At 37.5% G+C, this 23,723-nt stretch overlaps 1 protein-coding gene and 1 pseudogene across 19 annotated transcripts in view; both read left to right on the forward strand.

Moving 5' to 3' along the window:
• Positions 1-23,723, forward strand: part of RASAL2 (RAS protein activator like 2) — a 384,747-nt gene that overhangs the window by 295,366 nt on the left and 65,658 nt on the right. For all 19 annotated transcript variants that reach the window (NM_001437625.1, NM_001437626.1, NM_001437627.1 and 16 more), the window contains one exon: positions 631-737. In NM_001437625.1, the coding sequence (NP_001424554.1) occupies positions 631-737 (107 nt within the window). The remainder of the gene's footprint in view (positions 1-630; positions 738-23,723) is intronic.
• Positions 22,115-22,594, forward strand: RPS14P2 (ribosomal protein S14 pseudogene 2; annotated as a pseudogene).

The raw sequence follows: 23,723 nt of genomic DNA on the forward strand, positions 1-23,723 counted from the left end.
TTGTTAGGTTAGTTTGAACAGATTTAGGATTCCAGAGTAAGATCTTAGTAAGGTCATATTGCCAGAACAAGGAGAAGCTGATCTATTTTTATATCTGCATAGGCATATATGTTATTTTATCTTGGCAGCAGCTTTCAGTCTTCTCATGGCCCTTTTGTTGCAGTCTGGTGAATCATCTTATCTGCACAGAACTAACTTTGACCTTTGTGCAAACACCATCAAATCATATGCAACATTAGACTATATTTTGTTCAGAAGAATATTAGAAATTCCATTTTATTCTATTAACTCCTACATTGCTGACATGTAGAGAAGTAGATTTATATACTGTGAGATGCAACTATTAAGTGAACTTAAAGATATTAAACATAGCTCAGAGGAAATTATTTTTATATGTGCACAGATGAAAATATAAACTGTCACACTAAAGCAGATTCTTAACTGTGACCAAGTCTCTCTAGTGTCTTGATAGTTTAAGCACCTCAAAGATAGATAAATTATGTGAGATAGAATGTAATATACCTTTAAAGCATGCTGGTTTATTGTGAAAAACCAGTAACTTTACAGTTCAGTGGAAGATCCTAAATTTGGGGTTCTTAATGATGTTTCAACTTTCCTCCTTTTTTCCAGAGGTACCAGCAGAAAGGTCCCCTCGTAGACGGAGTATCTCAGGGACCAGTACATCAGAGAAACCCAACTCCATGGACACTGCAAATACCTCACCCTTCAAAGTACCAGTAAGTGTTTATCTTCTTTATAAGAATATTTTACTTTTCCTTTTCTCCTTTCTTCTTAGAGTTAGGGGCAGCTACTAAGGAATCCAAACATTCTTCTCTTCAAGAATTTCTTTATAATTCTGTGATTAAAGGATAGACTCATCAACTTGTGTAAATTAACTGTGGTTAATTGTCAACTACTTTCTTTTTTTGAGACTGAGTCTCACTCTGTCATCCAGGCTGGAGTGCAGTGGCGCGATAACACTCACTGCAACCTCCCCCTCCCGAGTTTAGGCGATTCTCCTGCCTCAGCCTCCGGAGTAGCTGGAATTACAGGCGCATACCATCATGCCTGGCTAATTTTTGTATTTTTAGTAGAGGCGGGGTTTTACCACATTGGCCAGGCTGGTCTCAAACTCCTAACCTCAAGTGATCCCCCTGCCTCAGCCTCCCAAAGTGTTGGGATTACAGGCTTAAGCCACCATGCCCAGCCGTCCACTACTTTCAGTATAATATTTATTAGGTTTTAGGGAATATTATTTTTACTCACAGGGTACTTAACAAAATATGTAACTACATTAAGTTCAAATTCCTCTCAACTGTAGAGTTCAAATCCTTGCAGACATCTTTTTATCAAGTTGCTAGCAAAAACCTATCACAATTCTGTAAAGAATCTGGTGGCAGGTTTTTTTTTTAGGAACGGGATGTGGTTTTTTTTATTTTTCAGAGCTGGAACATAAGCAGAGAGTGACGAGACTCAGAAAGTTGCAGACTAAATTCACAGAGAATTAGACAATTGTGAATTCTAATCCTAAGACTTGGTCTGCACTTTGCTTAAGCTATCTTTTGGATGACCATGGAAGTGCTTAAGAAAAACCTTGAAAGAAACTAACTCCTTAAATTGACCAGGCAGTATTGAGAATCAGCATTAAATACAAAAGAGGCTGGGCCTAGTGGTTCACACCTGTAATCCTAGCATTTTTGGGAGGCTGAGGTGGGAGGATTAATTAGACCTTAAGGATATTATTGTGTTCCAGGATGGTCTATAGTGCAGAAATTGACATTGATAATAATGATCCTGAATCATCAAGAAAAAGTGAGATTATATTTATTTCACTATTTTTTTAAAAAGTGGAACTATGTTTGTGACATGCATCCATTGAGAACATTTAAAATGTTGAAGATATGTGATGTTTATAAAACTTGTTATCCAGAAAAGTGGTTTGTGAAGTACCTCATTCCTTGGTCATGCTAGATAAATAATTTATTTTTTCAAGAGAAATCAAAATATGCTGGCTAAATGAGTACTTGGATATCTGTAGAAATTCATTGTATTTTCTTAAATTTTCATGTAATACCAATAGTAGTGTGATTTACATCACTTAAATATATTGCTGATTAGAAGAATGTCTAATTTTCAGGTCAACACACAATACATTTATAATTAATATCACAGTGGACTCTTTGAATTTGGGAAAGCAGTACAAAAAGGAGTCAGACTTTGAGATATTTAACTTAGAGTTGTTTATGCAATATCTGAATTTAGGATAGCAGTACAAAAAGGAGTCAGACTTTGAGATATTTAACTTAGAGTTGTTTATACAATATCTCAGATCGTTTCTATGTTAACTTTGTGGAGAGACAGAACCAATATTTTACCACAAGTACCAGTGGTTCCAGGATTCAGATGTCATTGCTATGGTGAGCAGTAGGTTTACCACTCATCAATTGGACCCCAAAATTATAGTAGTGGACTCTCACAAAGGACCTTATTCTTCCGAGCTCCATTTTCAGACTAACTGAGAGCAGATAAAATAGATTTTAACAAGTCCTAAATGAAATTATTTACAATGACACACTTATTGAATGCTTACTTTGGGCAAAGTATTGGTGATTCATCAATTGATACCTTCTTGGCATACTGTGCGTGGTATAAAAAAGTTTTCCATTCTGAGACCCTATATATAGCCTAGTAGCAAGAGATAGAAAAATGACCAGATTCATAAAGAGATAAGTGAGCATGGTAACACAAGTTATTAACAACACAATGTGTAAGTTAAGGCTTTGACAAGGAGCAGCATTTGAGCAGAGTTTCAAAGTCTGAAAGAAAATAATTGACAGGGGAAGAAAGTACTCCAGGCTGTGGGAATGGCATTTTGGAAAGACACACAGTCATGGGATGACTGATGCTTCCAGGGATTATAGAAAGAACTGAGTGAGACAGGAATTGAAAAGTATGTGGGCAAAAATCGCAGGTGAGAAGGCCGGAAAGGTAGGTGGGGGCAAGACTGTGATTGAGTTTGTTCATCAAACTTAACTAAATTATACTTGCTGCTGAAGCATTAAAGATGTGTTTATTAGAATATTTGTCTTTGACTCTAAAACTGAACAAAGTGGCATGAATACTGTGAAATATGGGTAAATTACTTGACTCTTCTCCTAAGTGAGTCTTTTTTCCTCTTGCTGTCACTATTCCAACTCAGGGTGATAGGTAAGGGGCTATCATTCAATAGAAGGCCAGCCCAGCACTCACCCCTGGCCTTTCAGCTGATACTACTGATTTTTCTAGAATAATATTTAGCCTTAAGGAGATCAAGGAGAAGCCAGTGGGTAAGGATCACTCATATCCTGCTGGTTGATGCCAAGTTAGGCAGAAAGAAGAATAACTGTAACAGTGAGCTCAAAGCAGGGAACCCTAAAAAACCTTTGTATGCCTTCCTCATTCACAAAAATTTATACTTTTAAAAACTTAAAATAGGCAACTGGTACAGCAGGGTATTCATGTATAATAACATTCAAAATGTGGGAAGAAGAGGAAATTTATATGGCTACTGAACCTGTAGGTTAAGGCAATGTCTTGGTTTTCAGCAATATTTAAATGTATTTGTACTCTTATCTAATCATAGCCATAAGAAAAAGTAGTGGTCCCCAACCTTTCTGGCACCAGGGACCAGTTTTGTGGAAGACAATTTTTCCACGGACCAGGGTTGGGTTGTGGGGGATGGTTTGGGGATGATTGAAGTGCATTACATTTATTGTGCACTTTATTTCTGTTATTATTAGGTTGTAATATATAATGAAATAATTATGCAACTCACCATAATGTAGAATCACTGGGAACCCTGAGTTTGTTTTTCTGCAACTAGACGGTCCCATCTGGGGGTGATGGTAGACAGTGACAGATCCTCACGCAGTAGATTCTCATCAGGAACACACAACCTAGATCCCTCGCATGCGCAGTTCACAATAGGGTATGTGCTCCTATGAGAATCTAATGCCACCGCTGATCTGACAGGAGGCAGAGCTCAGGCTGCAAGTCGATGGGGAGCAGCTGTAAACACAGATGATGTTTTACTCGCTCACCTGCTGCTCACCTCCTGCTGTGCCGCCCAGTTCCTAACAGGCCACAGACCAGTACTGGTCCATGGCCCTGGGGTTGAGGACCCCTGATCTATAGGAGAGTTTCTTCCTTCTTTCGCTCTCATTCCATATTTCTTCACACATACCGTAATTCCAATTGCAATTATTTGTTTGTAGGTTCTGTCCCTCATTAGACAACAGATAATCTGTTCCGATCATCTTTATAACAACCCCAGTGCCTAACACAGTACCTCCCACAGAGCAAACATTCAACAAATAATTGTTGAATAGATAAAATATGCATGAATTATCAAAGACCAGAATCGAACGAGTTTATCTCACACATATTCTCTTGGTATTACTGATAATGTCCCTAGTCAAATGGAATATTAAATATGTAATTACATTTAATAAACATTTAATAAGAGATCATGTGGGATAAGAGCAGAATGGATGGATTTTTTTCCTTAAAGAGAGATTTTAATTAATATTTGAAATTCAGAACTATGGTGTTTTAGTTATATAGTGTATACTTTGTCTACTTATGTTGGTAACTGAAACTAGATAGAATTCTTTATTATTTAATGATTTGTTTCTGTGGCTATTTCTTGGAACCTTTTAGGTGTTATACATATGTATAAATTCACAATGTTTTTGCACATCTGAGTTTTGACTGTTCTTCAAAAACAACTTTAGTCATTTGACATTTTCTCCTCTTTTAAAGATCATTTTTCATTTTTTCTTTAACATCGTGCTAGACTTTCATTTAAATGAAATTACTGGGATGATGAGGAACAATTGAATAAATAATGAAAAGTTATCCAGGTACATACTTAAGTTTAATTCAGAAAGAGAAAATGATTATGTCTTGTAATTGTGTATATTTGTTTCACAGTGCCTGATATTTTGGAACAGGCTTTTTTCTTTATACTCTATTTATAAAGTGACTATTGATATTTATGATTTGTTTAATCACTTCTACTTACATGATACCATCAATTTGGCTTCGGTCAAGAGGGAACTGCTTGTGTTCTGGGCCAGGTGCTAGGCTTAGTGTTCTGATTTTCATAACACAATGGTCTAACTTGGCCTTTCATGTAAGTATAACACAATACAGTTGCAGCTGCTTCATTTGTGTTTGCTTTGAGCTTGGCTCTGAAAGAATTCAGGCACCAAAAATTATGCCAAGACATCCAGAAAGCATAATTGAACTAAGGCAGTAGCTGAATATTCCTATGTAACTCTCCCTGTGCTCTTGTCACTGTGACACCTAAGCATTCCCAATCAAATAAATACACTAGAAAGAAAACATTGTCAAAAAAACAAATCTTTACATAGTTTTTAGAAGAATCTAAAGCCCTGGGAAATAAGATATAGGCTAAGTTAAAGTCCTGTGTAAAAAGAAATGTGTCTTAAGTATCGAGATTATCAGACTCAGTTGCTATTGGTTTCTGTTTTGAATCCTCTATAAGATCCTATGTAAGTGTTTTTCCAAGTTAAACAAAGAGATAGAAAGCTTCACGTCCACTATTTAATAAAGACTAGTAAGTGTCCATTGTCCAAACTAGGGGTTTTCAACTCTGGCCATACATGAAAATCACCTAAGGAACTTCAAAAAATATACTGATGCTTAGACTCCACCTCAGACCAGTTAAATCAAAATCTCTAGACTAGAGCCCAGTCTTCTGTATTTTTTTAAAGGTCCCAGATGATTCTAATATGCAGCTAGGGTTGTAAGCCATTTGTCTAAATGATTGATAAAATATTAGGAACTCATTTTAGTCAGTGTGTTACCTGTGAATATGAGTGCTTTCTTTCCTACCTTCAAGTCTGACATAAGAAACTAAGAAGCAGTATTTTCTCAGTGGCCTTTGTTACTCACATACTAATTGCTGAGTTGCCTGTTAGTTGCCCTTCTGTGTTTGCCACAATCAGTTCAGATGACCAATGTAAATTTACAAAATACTTGCTTTACCTTTGACCAGCCTAAGAATCTCAGATTTCAGGGTGAAATATTGAAATTCAATTCATAGCATCCAAGCTACAATACAGTTCCAACTTTCATATTCTCAGCATTACTGTATTCCAAGAGGATACTTAAAACTTATTTCCCATGATGCTTAAAGACTCTCTATCCGTGTTTCTTCCCTCTTTTCACTAACCATCTGCATGGAGTTAAAATCCATAATAGGATCGCCCTCCAGTGAGACCTCTTTTAATGAACAGTATATATATATATATATATATTTATTTATTCATATGTGTATGAATGTATAGATATGAGTATATTCATATGTCTATGAAAATGTTATTACCAAAGGTAGAAATCATATAGCAATCATGGGTATGTCAGAAAACTATAGCCTGTAGATATTAACTATATCTTTAAGTCATTTTGTAATCAGAAAGGGCATAATTTTAAAATCTTCTAATGATAAATATCTTAGAAAATATATAATTTAGAACCAAAGGTCTCAGAGCAGAGAAAAAAAAAGAATAAGGTTAGATACAACTCCTTAAGGGAACAGGGTGAGAACTGGCAAATACCTGGAGGAAAAGGGAGCAGGCTTGGTTAGGAAATACTACCAAGACTCTAAACTTGAAAGAATTAAAGAATGAGGGAAGCCCTCCTCAATCTGTGGTAATTCCTAGAAATGGGCTTGCAGCAGCACTAACTACTGGAGATTCCAACTTACCCTAACCAGGAGAAGAGGGCTGTTTGAGAGAGAGGATGAGATACACTCACAGCTCATTCTTATAGATGATGTACCATAAACCCTTTTCCTCTCAAAGCAAAGATATTTCTCCTCAGTTTTAATGGGCAAGGGGAAACACAAGACCTCTCATTTCACAATGAGAGATAAACACTTTGAAGGCCTAATGCCCACTTAAGGGAGCATGTAATTAGCTACTAAGTATAACCTCTTTTACAGAAGTTCTGAAGCCAGAGATGTAGAAAAGAAAATTTGCCACCTTCATGATTAAGCTAGAGTTAGCTATGCAAAAAAATATATATATATATTTTGGTCTTCTCAGCTGTACTTATACTCAGCAAGGTATGAGAATTGCTGGTAAACAATAATACCCTTGGTGTGCCTTTCTACCATAAGGCCCTTTAATTTCATAACCAATGCCAGTAGCATTCCACTGGATTTTTAAAATGCTTTGTTTCTTTTATATTAAACATCTACTAATTTCAATTTAAAGAAACTTCATTCCAACAGTATTATTTGATTATAATATCAATACAAAATTTTTTGTCAGATTGTTGAGTGGCTGGTAAAAAAAAAAAAAAGGCTCTAGAAGAATTTGAATAGATGTTTCTCCAAAGAAAATATACAAATGGCCAATACACACATGAAAAGATGCTCAATATCATTATTCATTAAGAAAAAAATCAAAACCACAATGAAATACCACTTGATGCCCACTAGGATGACCACAATCAAAAAGAGAGACAATAATAAGTATTGGTGAGAATGTGGAGAAATTGGAATGTAAAATGGTGTGGCCACTTTTGACAGCTCCTCAAAACATTAAATGTAGAGTTTCTATATGACCTAGCAATTCTACTTTTAGGAATATACACAAGAAAATTGAAAATATATGTCCACATAAAATGTACACAGATGTTTATAGCAGCATTATTTATGACAGCCACAAAGTAGTCATAACCCAAATGTCTATCAACTGAAGAATAGATATGCAAACTATGATTTATCCATACAATGGCTTATTATTTAGCCATGAAAAAGGAATGAGATACTGACACATGCCACAACATGAATGAACTTTGAAAATATTATGCTAAGTGAAAGAAGCCGTACCAAAGGCCACATGTTGTATGATTCCATTTATATGAGATGTTCAGAATAGGCAAATCTATACAGACCAAAAAAGAGATTAGTGTTTCTCATGAGTTGGGTGAGGGAGAAATGGGAAGTGACTGCTAATGGGCATGGGGTTTCTTTTTACATAATGAAAATGTTCAGGAATTAGACTGTGGTGATGGTTGCACAGCTTTGGGGATATATAAAAATCACTGAGTTGCATCTTTTATTTTTTACTTACTTTTTTTTTTTTAGATAGGGTCTCGCTGTGTCACCCATGCTGGACTGCAATGGCACAATCTTGGCTCACTGCAGCCTCAACAACCCAGGCTCAAACGAACCTCCCACCTCAGCTGTGAAGCTGGAACCACAAGCGCATGGCACTGTACCTGGCTAATTTTTTTTTTTTTTTTAACTTTTGGAGAGATGGGATCTTGCTTATGTTGCCCAGGCTTGTCTCAAACTCCTGGGCTCAAGCAGTCATCCTGCTTTGGTCTTCTAAAGTGCTGGGATTACAGGCATGAGTCACCATGCCCAGCAGAGTTGCACACTTTAAAAGGGTGAATTTATGGTATATGAATTGTATCTCAGTAAAACTTTTTAAAAAGTAAAACACCAGGCTTAGGAGACTTAGGATAAAAAATTTGAAAATATTAATACTTTAATATTGATTATAAATTGAAATAATGTTTTAGATATATTTTAGATATGTAATATATTACATATTGGCTGCTTATTTTCTACAGTTTTTTTTAGTTAATCGTTTCTGATACTTTGCATATTTGCATTTTTATACAAACTACCATAATTTGGCCTACTATAAGGGAGATAGTACTAACTACTTTTACTCAAGGATGTAGAAATAGAAGCATAATATTTAGTTTAAAGAGAAAAAAGCTAATTTACAGTAGTGTCCTATATGTGGAATATTTTTTAATTTTTGCAAATTATCAACAAATTTTTATATCTTGTTCATGTTTGCATAGCATATGTTATAGTTTCTTCTATAAATTCATACCTGTTAAATTGTTTGACCTTTTGTATTTTTAATACAGTCCACCTCTGCCTCTCCATTCTTGTAAGATGTCCTATATGTGGGTTTGTTTAGTGGGATAATGCTGAGATTTCATATTAGAGGAGTGTTTTTATTATATTTGTATATCAATGCAATTAATATCAACAAATCAGGAAATAGAAAAGGATGCTGTTTTGGCAAACATTCTTTCATTCAGTCCTCTGTATTGTACTATGGCTTGGTTCTGATGTCTCATAGTAATTTAAACTCAGCTTCCCCCAAACTGTATTCACTTTATGTTTTTCTTAAAAAATTTTCCCTTGAATTTCTCTTTGTAGTGCTGCACATTTCTTCAGTTCCCAGGGCCAAAACCCTAAGAGTCATAATATACTCTTCCCCTTCTCTCAAATTCTGTCACCAGATCTTGTCTACCTCTCTTCAAATTCATTCATCCCCTTTTCCAGCCCCACTGCCATTTACTGACTTCGCTTATCAGTACTTGTGGTTCCTTCCCTGAACTAGTACCAGGGTCAGCTTCATGAGCATGAGACCAGTGCAGTACACAGGGCCTACACTTACAAAGGCTCAATGCATGAAGTTCAATGCTGTATTGTTGCCATCTCAAAGTTCTTAGTGATTGATCTTTGGATTTGTATTTTCTAAGTGAAGTTTAATGGGACAATGGAGAATTCGTGGGGACCTTGGGCATGGTACCACCTCCTGCTGCCTCCCTGGAATGAATTATCTGTTGCCCACTTCCCCACTCCCTGATCTCATTCAGCCTCCCTCTCTCTTCACCCAGCCACAGCTGTCACTCTCTGACCCTGGCAGGGGCCTTTGCACAAGTGTGAGAAAGATAGGGATTAGACAGCACAACCCATGGTGTCTTGGAGCAGGGCTTGGTAAGGGTAGTCCTTGCCCCTGCCTGTCATCTCCAGGGATGTCTTACAGGTAGATAGAAACCACAACTGTGTTTGGGTGGGCGGGGGAGGGGCAGGGGAGTGAAGGGACAAGCCTCTTGCCTATCTCCAAGCCAGGTACCTAGTGAGTTGTAGGGGCAGCCACAGGAAGGGAAGAAGCATCAGCCTCCCAGCATGGCATGACACGCAGGTTTGGTGGCTGGCATGGTGGAACCTGGTAGCCAGTGGACGCCCACTGCTGAGTCATAGTCTGGGGCCCCTGGCACCTCTGAAGGTTTATACTTACCTGTAATTTTTCCTGGTACTGGAGGAAGTGTGACATTAAATAGTAAATAAAAGGCAGCATGGCAAGTGGAGACAAAAACTACTGAAGAAAGGGAAAAGTTTCCTAATTTATAATAGTACGTTTAATGACATTGTCTTCCTGCTTTTTGAACAGTACTACTCCCAGCTTTTCATTTTGCACTGAGCCCCTCTAATTATGCTGCAGGTCCTGTCTAGTGCAGTAGAGATTCTTAACTCACTCCCGGCCTCCAATTCCTCCTCATCAACTTTAGCCTTCGCTCTGCTGCCAGAGTGGTCTCTAAAATCTAAACTCCATCATTACTTGGGCCTCCCTTGCTTAATGTCTTTTAGCTCTCTACGATTCCATGCCCATGAACAAGACTAGTTTCATACATTTTATTTGGCCTGCTCAGTGGTTTCTTCCTCCTCTCTCTTCCTTTCCCCTCTTCTTTCCCTTCATTTGAATGTCTTCAGACAGAACTACCTTTTACTTCAAAAACTGTCAGTCGCCCGCTGAAGGCTTTTGAGTTGAACTTGTGTTACAGGATGATAAAACCAAAGTTAAATTGGCACTGAGAGCTTTCATTGTCTAATTTTGTACTGCCTTTCCAGACTCATTTCCTAATGCTCAGTATCCTCATTTTCACCCCCAACTCTCTTCAGTCCTGAGTTCCATCTTTAACAAATCTGAGAGTTCCCCAAACAAGTTTTCTCAGGTCTCCTTACACATTTCTGCCCAGGAAGTCTACCTTCCATCCTTGCTAAAAGTATTCTCATCCATTAAGACTCAATTCCAGTGTTTCGTTACCTCTTCTAGGCAGCATTAACCTTGGCCGTCTCTGTCCTTCCACGGGAGTGTACATTATCCATTATAGCACCGACACTATTATATTGTAGGGTTGCCTTCCCTAGTCTGTGATATTCTAGTTGGTGATCTCCAGAATAGGTTGTGTATACTTCAGAGGATACACAGACAATTCATTTGGGGTGCAGAAAGAAAATATTAAATGTTTGATATTTTAAAAAAATTTTTGCTCTTTAAAAGTTTTATGTTATTGAATATTTTACAGTCATATATCAGAAAATCATATTTTATAAGTATATTTTATTAGGAAGGCACACTCAACAATATTTTATTCATTTCATAGTCAAAATTAATTAATTAATTAATTATTTTGAGACGGTGTCTCAGTCACTCAGGTTGGAATGCAGTGGTGTAATCTCAGCTCACTGCAACCTCTGCCTCCCATGTTCAAGTGATTCTCCTGCCTCAGCTTCCCGAGTAGGTGGGATTACAAGCACATGCCACCACGCCTGGCTAATTTTTCTATTTTTAGTAGAGACGGAGTTTTGCCATGTTGGCCAGGCTGGTCTTGAACTCCTGCCCTCAGGTGATCCACCTACCTTGGCCTCCCAAGGTGCTGGAATTACAGGCGTGAGCCACCCCACCCAGCCAATAGTCAAAATAATTTAGAAACCACTCTTCTAGAAGACAAGAACTATATCTTATTCATCTCATAACTTCAGCACTGACCTTTTATTTTTCCTAATCTGTTTATGAAAACTGATTTAATATATGGGTGATATTCTTGATTACCCAAAGTATGCACGTTGCAAAGACATTGACCTCTTATGCCATAGTTTCTTCATCATTAGTTGGTAGTTTTTAATTAATCAACATTGTGTACTGGTTTTTATAAAGGGTCTACAATAAATCTATTAAGTGAAATAGAATTAAGAAGGGTGGAATTTAGTGAGTAGGAAGAATTTCTGTGGAAGTCCTGTGAGAATAATGATAGAGAAACTCATGGGGAGTATCTTAGTTTGCTTCTCATTTAAGGTATAATTGAATGTGTAAGAATGTGTTCTGCCTGTCAACTCTTTAAAAGTTCCATGGGGCTGGGCCTGGTGGTACATGCCAGTAGTTCCAAGCTATTTGGGAGCCTGAGGCAAGAGGTTCACTTGAGCCCAGGAGTTTCAGGCCGTAGTGCGGATGATTGTTCTGTGAATAGCCACTGAACTCCAGCTTGGGCAACGTAGTGAGACCCCATCTCTAAAAAATACTAATACTAATAATAAATAAATTAAAGGTAAATGGGGAGAAAAGACAATACAGTCAACAGAAGTGAAGGTGAAAACCTGATGATCTGTCCTAGCTACCTGGGCTTATATGTTATGCAGTCAGTGAGACTGTTACTCGGAAACTTTTTCATTAAAATAAGGTGGTTACAGTTTAAAAAGGCCCTGAGCTTTTCTGATCATAAGATTTAGGGCCCGCGTCACCCTGTCTTTTTAACTCTGTGAGAGTACCAGAACAAAGATTTCATATTATTAACTTTGAAGGATTTGTACCTAGAATAGGCAAAGGAATGATAAGAGAACTGTATTTTTTACCGTTCTTCAACTAGCATCTCACTTGTATGATCAAGAGCAAATTGTTTGACTTCCTCTAACACCTATGATTTCTTTTCTGTAGTAATGAAATATTACACAAATATTTTAAGATCTTTGGAAGTTTGCAGATAAAAAGATACTATAGGCTGGGTGTGTTGGCTCACGCCTGTAATCCCAGCACTTTGGGAGGCCAAGGTGGGCAGATCACTTGAGGTCAGAAGTTCGAGACCAGCCTAGCCAACATGTTGAAAGCCCGTCTCTACTAAAAATACAAAAAATTAGCCAGGTGTGGTGGCAGGCACCTGTAGTCCCAGCTACTCGGGAGGATCACTTGAACCTGGGAGGTGGAGGTTGCAGTGAGCTGAGATAACGCCACTGCACTCCAGCCTGGGCGACAGAGCGAGACTTCATCTAAAAAAAAAAAAGGACCAACATATATATTATATATAGTAAGGACCAATTTGTTAATATTTTGGTGCCAAATTTACAATGGAAAAACTGTTTGCAGTATTACAAACAGTATAGTTAGGAAATAGCCTCTAGAAGTAATAAAATAAGTCTAATACAATCTTTTCAGTAATGTATTTCCCCACTTCTTTCCCCCTTCATTTTATCCTTAGGAAAAAACAAATCCATCCTGATAGACGTTAGTAAAGAGTAATTACATTGTTTCACATTATACCTTTTGCTCATGACCATCCATAATGTGGATTTTTGGTACATTTTGTTTCAACAGAGGCAGTAAGAATTTTATCTTTTTCAATAACTAATAGGCTCAAAAGCCCCCCTCCATCTCTGATGCTGTTATTCTTAGAGTCCTAGAAATGAGAGATGGAAAACTTCAATTAAATTCATCTAGTCCGTCTCCCCTGACAATGAAAAAAAATAGTATTTCACATTATATTATCTAATGCTTTTTCAGGCCTTCCATGATAACCTCTGAGAGACTGTCCAATAGGCTAATAGACCTCACTTTGAGGTCTTCATTTTGACCCATCATTTCTCATTATTATATTCCTTAAAGCCATCATCCTCAATATTCATACTTTGTGAACTTGAATGAGATTAGCACAGTCTCTGTTAGTCATAAGAAAATCAACATACTATATAGAGTATGTATGACATTCAATTTACAATAAAATTTAAAAAAAATCAGTATACGCCTCATTAACAGGAACTGAAGTGTTCTACAGAAGTGAATTTTCCAGATACTAAACTTTTCTTCCTTAACCACCAGATTTAGTTTGGTTTTAATAATTTTGAGGGGGTTTTCCCTCCTATGTGTTATTTCCGTACTTTCTTGAGTGAATTCAACTTTTCTTAATAATTCACATTAATCATTATCAGCATTCTGCAAATACGTATTAAGTAGCCCACTGTATGCTAAGCATTACAGAAATATGAAGATGAGCTCAATGTGTTTGTTTTCTGTTTGCCTTCAGGAGTTAAGATTCATAGGGAATATAAAATAGGAACAGAATTAATTATAGGTCAAGGTAGGGGAAAACAGTAGTATAAATAAAAAGTTTAGATAATCAGAAGTGGGAGAGACTAAGTCCTATTAGAGTAATCAGGAATGGTTTCCTCAAGAATTGGTACTTGAAATAAATGATATAAGGACAACTGAGTAACCATGTGGAAAAAGATAATATTAGATGTGTATCTCATACCTTACACAAGAGTAAACTCCAAATGGATTAGGGATCTAAAATGTGAAAAAAAAGCATACCTAGTCGGAAACATGGATGAATTCTCTAACCTTAATGCAGGGAAAAACTTTCTATGATGGTTACTGAAAAGCCAGAGGCAATTTTTTAAAAATAGATTGATAAATTTGATTGTACAAAAGAAAGTTTTTTAATAATTGCGTGACAAAAAAATAAAAAAATTAAAGTTAAAAGACAACCAATGAATCAATTGAGAGAAAATATTTACAACATGTAGGAAACTATTAAGGTCGGGCACGGTGGCTCACGCCTCTAACCCCATCATTTTGGGAGGCTGAAGCAGGCAGATCACCAGGTCAGGAGTTCGAGACCAGCCTGTCCAACATGCCGAAACCCCATCTCTACTAAAAATACAAAAAATTAGCCGGGCATGGTGGTGGGCGCCTGTAATCCCAGCTACTCGGGAGGCTGAGGCAGGAGAATTGCTTGAACCCGGGAGGCAGAGGTTGCAGTGAGCCGAGATCACGCCATTGCACTCCAGCTGAGGCTACAGTGCGAGACCCCGTCTCAAAAAAAAAAAAAAAAAAATTAAGGGACAAGTGACTAAGACCCAATAGGAAAACTGAAGAAAAGAAAGACGTGAAGAGGTAATAGGTAAAAATGTTTCTGAACATATGAAAACAATGTTCAAATTCACTTATAATCAGACAAATGCAATTTTTTTGTTTATGTGTTTGTTTTTTGAGACAGAGTCTCGCTCTGTCGCCAGGCTAGAGCGTAGTGGTGCCATCTCTGCTCACTGCAACTTCTGCCTCCTGGATTCAAGCCATTCTCCTGCCTCAGCCTCTGGAGTAGCTGGGACTACAAGCCCGTACCACCACGCCCAGATAATTTTTGTATTTTTAGTAGAGACAGGGTTTCACCATGTTGGCCAGGCTGGTCTCAATCTCTTGACCTCGTGATCCGCCCACCTCGGCCTCCCAAAGTACTGGGATTACAGGCGTGAGCAACCGCACCTGGCCCCCCAATTTTTTTTTTTTTTTTTTTTTGAGTCTCGCTCTGTCGCCCAGGCTGGAGTACAGTGGCGCAACCTCAGCTCACTGTAACCTCCACCTCCCGGGTTCAAAGGATCTTCCCACCTCAGCCTCCTGAGTAGCCGGGTCTGCAGGTACATGCCACCACACCCAGCTAATTTCTGTATTGTTTGTAGAGACGAGGTCTCACCATGTTGGCCAGGCTGGTTTCATACTCCTAGGATCAATCAATCCTCCTGCCTCGGCCTCTCGAAGCGCTGGGATTACAGGGATGAGCCACAGCACCTAGCCGAGAAATGCACATTTTAAAACAACATAGAAATATTATTTCACCTTTCAGTCTGACAGACTATAAAGGATGACAACGAATTCAGTTGGCAAGGTTGTGGGAAACAGACACTCTCATACATTGTTGAAGGGAAGGCAAACTGGTACAACCCTTCTACAGGGGATTTGGCAAGATTACATATACACTTACCTTTTGACCCAGCATCCCATTTCTAGGAATCCAACCTGAAGATACATTTCCACCATTATGAAAACACATATGCACAAAGTTATTTATGCAGCATTGTTTTTTAATTGCAAAATATTGTAAACAGCCTATATGCACATTCATAAGAGGGTGACTAAACTATATGTAGAGAGTAGAATAGTGGTTCCTCCCCCATCTCCCAAGATGTCCACATCCTAATACATGGAAATTGTGAATATGCTATCTTATGTGGCAAAAGGGACTTTTGTAGATAGGATTAAGGCTAAGGACCTTGAGATAGGAAGATTATCCTAAATTATCCAGATGGATCCAGTCAGATCACGAGACTTTAAAAGCTGAAAAGCTTTCATAGAGATGCAACATTGCTGGCTTTGAAGATGGAGGAAAGGCCATGAGCCAAGGAATGTGGGTGGCCTTTAGAAGCTTGAAAAGGCATAAGACAGATTCTCCCCTAGAGCCTTCAGAAAGGAATGCAGACCTGCTGACACTTTGATTTTAGCCAGATGAGACCTGTGTTGGACTTCTGATCGATAGAACTGTAAGATAATAAATTTGTACTGTTTAAACCACATTTGTTTTAATTTGTTATAATGGCAGTTGAAAACTAATACAGTGGAAAACTGGTGAATTTAGAATTAGGGCTGTGTTTAGGTGAGTATAGTACCTATGTTAATTTCTTAGTTTTCATAATCATACTATGGTTATATAAGATAATAACATTAGGGGAAGCTGGGCAAAGGAAAACTCTGTACTATTTTTCCAAATTTTTTGTACATCTAAAATTACTTCATATCTAGAGGAAAAATAACTAAGGATTCCTTCCCTCCTCAGTGTCCTTTCCCCACTCTACCTCATTAACATCCCCTTAAAAAGTTGCCATGTCGTCTTGTTATTTGTGAATTTCCAACCAAGCTTTTAACTCAGTGGTTTCCAAACCATATGTCCACATAAAGACTTGTTCATAAATGTTTATGGCAACTTTATTCTTAATATCCCAAAACTGGAAATAACTCGAACGTCCATGAGTTGACAAATGGTTAAACAATTGTTGGTGTACCCATACAGTGGAATAAAAAGGAGCAAACTGTACATGCAACAGCATGCATAAATTTCAAAAACATTATGCTAAGTGAAGAAAGACTACATACTGCATAAATCCATTTATGTGACATTGTGGAAAAGATAAAACTATAGGAACAAGTCATATTAGTGGTTTCCAGGGGCTGAGGGTGAGAGGAAGGGATTGACTGACTACAGAAAGGCATGAAGACATTTTTGGGGTGATAGAAATGTTCCATATCTCACTTGTATTGGTACAGCATACATTTATCAAAACTTGTCAAGCTGTACATTGAAAAATATTGACTTGTTTTTTGTAAATTACACCTCAAACCTGTTTTAAAAGAAATGTTTTAAAACAAAATACATAAAAAGTTGGACATAAAAGGTTTGAAATAATATAACAAGAAGGTAATAAAAATCTGACATGACAGATTCATGAAAATGAATCTCTAAGAATGTAATTAGTTAATAAAGTATGCTAGATATCTTCCATTGGTCCCTCTAGCAGATCTTAACATGTCAATATGTGTTTTAACATGTTATAATGTAATACCTGTAATATAATATGTATTTTATATTTTAATATAATAATTATACATAATGTAGCATAATGACATTAATGTGTCAACATCAATTAGATCTGATTAATGGATATGTGTTTATTAATTTCTGTGCTTTGTATGTTTAAAAGTTTCATAATGAAAGTTTTAGTTTGCTTAATAAAAAAATCACATTGAATTGAATGCTTGTTAAAAATGTAGATCACTGTGCCCCAATCCCAAAGATTCCGATATATCAGATCTGTGCTAGAAGAACAATTGTGATTTATGACAGAACCTTTTCTCTTTCCTTTTGATGCTTAAATTTGAAAAACAAAAACAAAAAACCTACTAGAGGATAAACTACCCATACTACAACTAAACTATAATGCACTTTGCAACTATTTCTTGTTTTGTTATTCTTGTCATCTACAGTCTCCCTTCCTGTTTGGACTTCCAAATAACTGGAAGATAAACTTAAGTAAAATATAAAGACTAGAAAGTAAACTTGAACGTTTTCAGTTAGTCTTCTCCTTTTTCCTTGTTAATTTTTTAGAATTACGTTTTAGTCAACATTTAGTGAATATCTACAAGTTCCTAAGTTATATTGAGAGCAAGGAAGGGAATTATTTATAGATGACACAGCTTTTTTTCTCAGGTATTTACAATCCATGATAAAACAAATATGTAAAATACATAGAGATTTTAATTTACTAATAAACTAAAACTTGAAAAGCAAGAATGAAAACAATTCTCACCTGGGTCCTTTCTAGTTGACAGGGTGGCATTTTCTTACTGTGAATCAGGTAACATTTTGAGAAATTGCCATTTAAAAATAGTTAATCACTTAGAATTGCTGTAACATTGTCCTTAATCCCTTGTGTGGTCACTGATGTGAAAAAGTCTCAAGCAGAATTAAAGCAGGGTTTTGTTGCACATCCCTACATTTTTCATGTGAAAGGTGATGACATGTTTCCCTGTCTCCGCTTCTCCCTGTCTTAAGGGAACGCAGCAGTGCTAGGATGCTGGCAAGGCATTGTCCCTTATTACCCCCACGGAGGCTTCTGAGAGCAGTTGCATAGCAGCAGTTTTATTTCAGTTACCACTCATTCACAGCTAGCCGAGTTCAGTCTTCAGGGAATACTCCAATTTGCAGGTGGCCAACAACTTTAGTTATCATTGTCTTAACATTTACCAAGCTCCAGAGAAAGGCAATAGTTGGCTTTTTCTTTCATTGACTGTTGCTAATTTTAAGCCTTATTTTGAAAGAAAATAATGAATACCAACTAATTAAATTATTTTAGTTGTATCAATTGCTATGACAATGTACCTTTTTTAAAAAAATAATGAGCTTTTTACTATTTTTAAGACTTGTAAATGGTAGCAACAGCATTTGAAAAAATTGGATAGAGTAGGATTTGTTTTGAGTGTTTGATTAGTATGCTTTCAGATTAGGTTGGTGTCAGAAGGATGAAATCAGTTTATTTACATTCTTTCTTTCCTTTGTTTCCATTTAGACTGGAACATCATTCACACTCTTCACATTTTTATAAGGCATGGATATCATAACTGTGAAAGAGAAAAAAGCATTTTCCTCTTGGTATCCATCTATTTTTAAATTTTATATTTGGATTTTTTTATTTTATACTCAGTGACCACAGAATCAGTTACATATAAAAGCCATTTCAATAAGGTTTTGATTTTACTTTAGTTTAATTATATAGCTAGGAATCCTAGGGGCAAATTCTTGTAAGTCAAATGCCACAATAGTAGTTTTTTTGTTTTTTAGGTTTTTTGTTGTTGTTGTTTGGTTGGTTTTTTTTTGTTTTTTGTTTTTTGTTTTGCTTCTCTTTTTTTTCCTCATATTTTGAATTGTCATATTACATTTCTGGCTGTTTATGATACATAATTCTATAATAAGGTATGTGTAGAAGTTACATATAATACATATGGGGAAAATAAGTTATGTTATAGTACTTAAAGTATTTGATGTGGAATTAGAATGTCAAGAATTCATATAGCACAGTGGTTAAAAAGGAAGGGTTCCGGTGTGAGGCTACCTAGGCTCAAAGTTCTCCTCTGCCATTTAGCATCTATGTGACCTTGGGAAAGTCATATATCTTCTGTATTAGTCTGTTTTCACACTACTGTAAAGAACTACCTGAGACTGGGTAATTTATGAAGAGAGAGGTTTGACTCACAGTTCCACAGCCTTAACAGGAAGCATGACTAGGAGGCCTCAGGAAATTTACAGTTATAGCGGAAGGAGAAGAAGGACCTTCTTCACATGGAGGCAAGAGAGAGCAAGCGGGGAACTGCCATACTTTTAGGCCATGGGAGGTGGTTGGAGAAGATTGCATCATGGGAGAGGATTTCCCCTATGCTGTTCTCATGATAGTGAGTGAGTGAGTTCTCAGATGATCTGAGGACACACTGCATATGATTTTTCAGTTCTGAAAGCAATTTTTGAGCCCCTACTAAATACCAGATATCAGACCTGCCCTGGGAACACAAAGCTTGCAGGGTTTAGTGAGGATGACACATAAGTGGGCATACACTGTGCTAGATGTAAGGCTAGCTCTCTATAAAGCACAGTGGAGGGGCACGTAATCTAGGGCAGGGTCAGGTCATGTCAAAAAAGACACCCTAGAAGAGATCATTCCTAAGCGGTATCAAAAAGGATGATTCAGCCAGGGAGAAGGAAGAGAATATGAGCAGTGGTAAACATGCATGGTGAATATAGAGAATTACAGGTATTTCAAGTTAGTGGAGGATAAAGTATGAAGTGGAATGACCAGGGATCAGCTGGAATGGTAAGTCGTTACCAGATGATACTATATCTTATAGGCAGAACTCTTACCAGGGCCATGCCTAGCTGCTTTTAGGTACCTTTGGGTTAATTATCCATCCCTTGACCAGTCATATGGATCCAGGGCAGAAAGATTGCATGGCACAAAGCATAGTGACCTGAATATGTAAGCAGTTGCTCAGAAGCAGGCAATGGGCAACTGGGCATGACATGTACTTTGTTGTTTCTCAGAAGAGGATAATGTGGGAAGACTCAGTACATGGTTGGTCCAGGATGGAGGGATAGTAGAAGCCAAGCCAAGCTTGAAAACAGTGAATTTGTTGTGGTTTCATCCGGTACAGCTATGTGGTCTTCCTAAAGAGCTTCGTCATGGCACCAGGAAGATTGACTTAAATATTGTTTTAATTGTTATTTTGGATAGCTAATCATTAAGAAAATGGAGGGTGTTGGTAATTGAATAGCATCAGATGATTAGCTGTGGAATCTAGGGAGAAGGAAAAGAGAGCAGGAAAAAACAAGGGACAGGGAGAAAATGAGGTGGTCCAGAAAGTGAAGGTTTCTGTTAGGTTGAAGAGTAGATTAATGTGGAGAAAGAGATATATGAAAGACATGTGATTAGGGAGGAAATCAGAGAAAAAAATATTACTGTTTAAGATGTCTGAGATGGAGGATCTCTGAATGATGATAAGATCTAGTGTGTAGATATAAGAGTGGGTGGCTGAAATGTTGAAGAATGAAGCTGGGTCCTCATCTCTCACCTTATACAAAAATCAACTCAAGATGGATCAAAGACTTACATCTAAGACCTGAAACCATAAGAATTCTAGAAGATAACATCGGAAAAACTCTTCTAGACATTGACTTAGGCAAAGACTTCGTGATCAAGAACCCAAAAGCAAATGCAACAAAAGTAAAGATAAATAGATGGAACCTAATAAAACTAAAAAGCTTCTGCACAGCAAAAGAGATCAGAATCAATAAACAGACAACCCACAGGGTGGGAGAAAAATGTTCACAAACTGCATCTGCCAAAGGACTAATATCCAGAATCTACCAGGAACTCAAACAAATCAAGAAAAAAAAAACAGATAATCCCGTCAAAAAGTGAGCAAAGGAAATGAATACACAGTTCTCAAAAGAAGATATACAAATGGCCAAGAAACGTCAAAAAAATGCTCAGCATCACTAATTATCAGGGAAATGCAAATCAAAACCACAATGAGATAACCACCTTACTCCTGCAAGAATGGCCATAATTAAAAATAAAAAAATAACAGATGGTGACATGGATGTGGTGAAAAGGGAACACTTTTACACTGCTGATGAGAATGTAAACTAGTACAACCACTATGGAAAACAGTATAGAGATTCCTTAAAGAACTAAAAGTAGAACTGCCATTTGATCCAGCAATCCCACTACTGGATATCTACCCAGAGGAAAAGAAGTCATATGAAAAAGACACTTGCACACGTATATAGTAGCACAATTCGCAATTGCAAAAGTGTGGAACCAGTCTAAATGCCTATCAACTAATGAGTGAATAAAGAAAATGTGGTGTGTGTGTGTGTACACACACACACACACACACACACACACCCCATGGAATACTACTCAGTCACAAACAAAAAGGAACGAAATAATGGCATTCGCAGAAACCTGGATGGAGTTGGAGACCATTATTCTTAGTAAAATAACTCAGGAATGGAAAACCAAATATTGTATGTTCTCACTTATAAGTGGGAGCTAAGCTGTGAGGACACAAAGGCATAAGAATGATATAATGGACTCTGGGGACTTGGGAGGAAGGGTGGGAGATGGGTGAGGGATAAAAGACTACACATTGGGTACAGTCTACACTGCTCAGGTGATGGGTGCCCCAAAATCTCACAAATCACCACTAAAGAACTTTTCCATGCAATCAGACATGACCTATTCCCCTAAAACTATTGAATAAAAATAAAAATTTGATTTAAAAAAATGAGTGGATGGAGAGACGACATGCAGAAATGGCACACTTCAGGTGGCTGAAGGAGAGAAATGTATTTGGTGTCTGCCATATCTTTGCAACCTTCAGTGACACTTTTGTCCATGTCACTGATCTTTCTGGCAAAGAAACCATCTGCCGTGTGACTGGTGGGATGAAGGTGAAGGCAGACCGAGATGAATCCTCGCCATGTGCTGCTTTTTTGGCTGCCCAGGATGTGGCCCAGAGGTGCAAGGAGCCAGGTATCACTGCCCTACACGTCAAACTCTGGGCCACAGGAGGAAATAGGACCAAGACCCCTGGACCTGGGGCCAGTCGGCCTTCAGAGCCCTTGCCCGCTTGAGTATGAAGATCAGGCAGATTGAGGACATCACCCCCCATCCCCTCTTGACGGCACCCACAGGAAGTGGGGTCGCTGTGGTCACCGTCTGTGAACAAGACTCCTCAAAATACTTTCTGAAAATAAATTGCCATCATGTGAAAAAAAAAAAAAGAGTAGGTGGCTGAAGGGGAGGATACTGAGTAATGGAGTCAAGGAATTATGAAGCTAGGGTACTAGACATCACTATTTGGTTATTTTCTAGCATGGTGTTAAGAGTCAGAAAAATATTACAAGCTAGGGGCTAAAGTTCTTAATGAATAAAGGAAAGTGAAAGAGAGATTGAAACATGAGAGCAGCAAAGAGAGATGAAGAATGCTAAATCAAGATGGTATGTACCTTAAAAAATATGCATTTACTCCAAACCATGATTTTATGGACTATTGATTTGGAAACAGTCATGGTAAGCTAGGTAAAGTCCAGCTACCTCTTCCTGGGTACCACTGAATATTGGGTAATGGAGAATGAAAAAACTTCAACTAAATAGAGCTGTGAGAGAAACCATTTCTCAGGTTAAAACTATGCTTCATTTACATCAAGGAGGTGACCACAAAATTTTGAAAGGTTTCACTACCTCCCTGAAGTATTACTGCCCACTCTGTGCAATCTTAACCTTTTCCTTATCTGTGTTCCTAAATCAGCCATGATTTCATGTATGTATTTATCAAGGACTTACTAAAGTTTAAACATTGTGGTTGATGTTAAGGTAAATATAACATTATGCCATCCCCTCGAAAGTTTAAATGCAAGACTTCTTGTTTTCAGATAGGAAAACCTCAACTGTAATTTATGAAATGCTGGAGGCTTAGTGTGGCCAAGTTTGAGAGATAAAAACTGTAGGGGTATTCATTAATGGGGAGGCCACAATTTTTAAAAATTTTACCTCCTAGAGTCCTACCAGGTTCTCACAGTGAATATCTGAGAAAATTCCCCTCATTTTTCCAGCAGGGAGAAGGGAAAGGAGGCATTTTGAAATGCATCAGAGCTTTCTTTCTCTTTCTTTTTCTTTCTTTCTTTCTTTCTTTTTCTTTCTTTCTCTTTCTTTCTTTCTTTTCTCTTTCTTTCCTTCCTTCCTTCCTTCCGTCTGTCCATCCGTCTGTCTGTCTTTTCTTCAGAGTCTTGCTCTGTCTCCCAGGCTGGAGGGCAGTGGCACGATCTCCGGCTAATTTTTGTATGTTTTGTAGAGATGGGGTTTTGCCATGTTGGCCAGGCTGGTCTCAAACTCCTGACCT

This window comes from Homo sapiens, chromosome 1, assembly GCF_000001405.40.
Source record: "Homo sapiens chromosome 1, GRCh38.p14 Primary Assembly".
Lineage (NCBI taxonomy): Eukaryota > Metazoa > Chordata > Mammalia > Primates > Hominidae > Homo > Homo sapiens.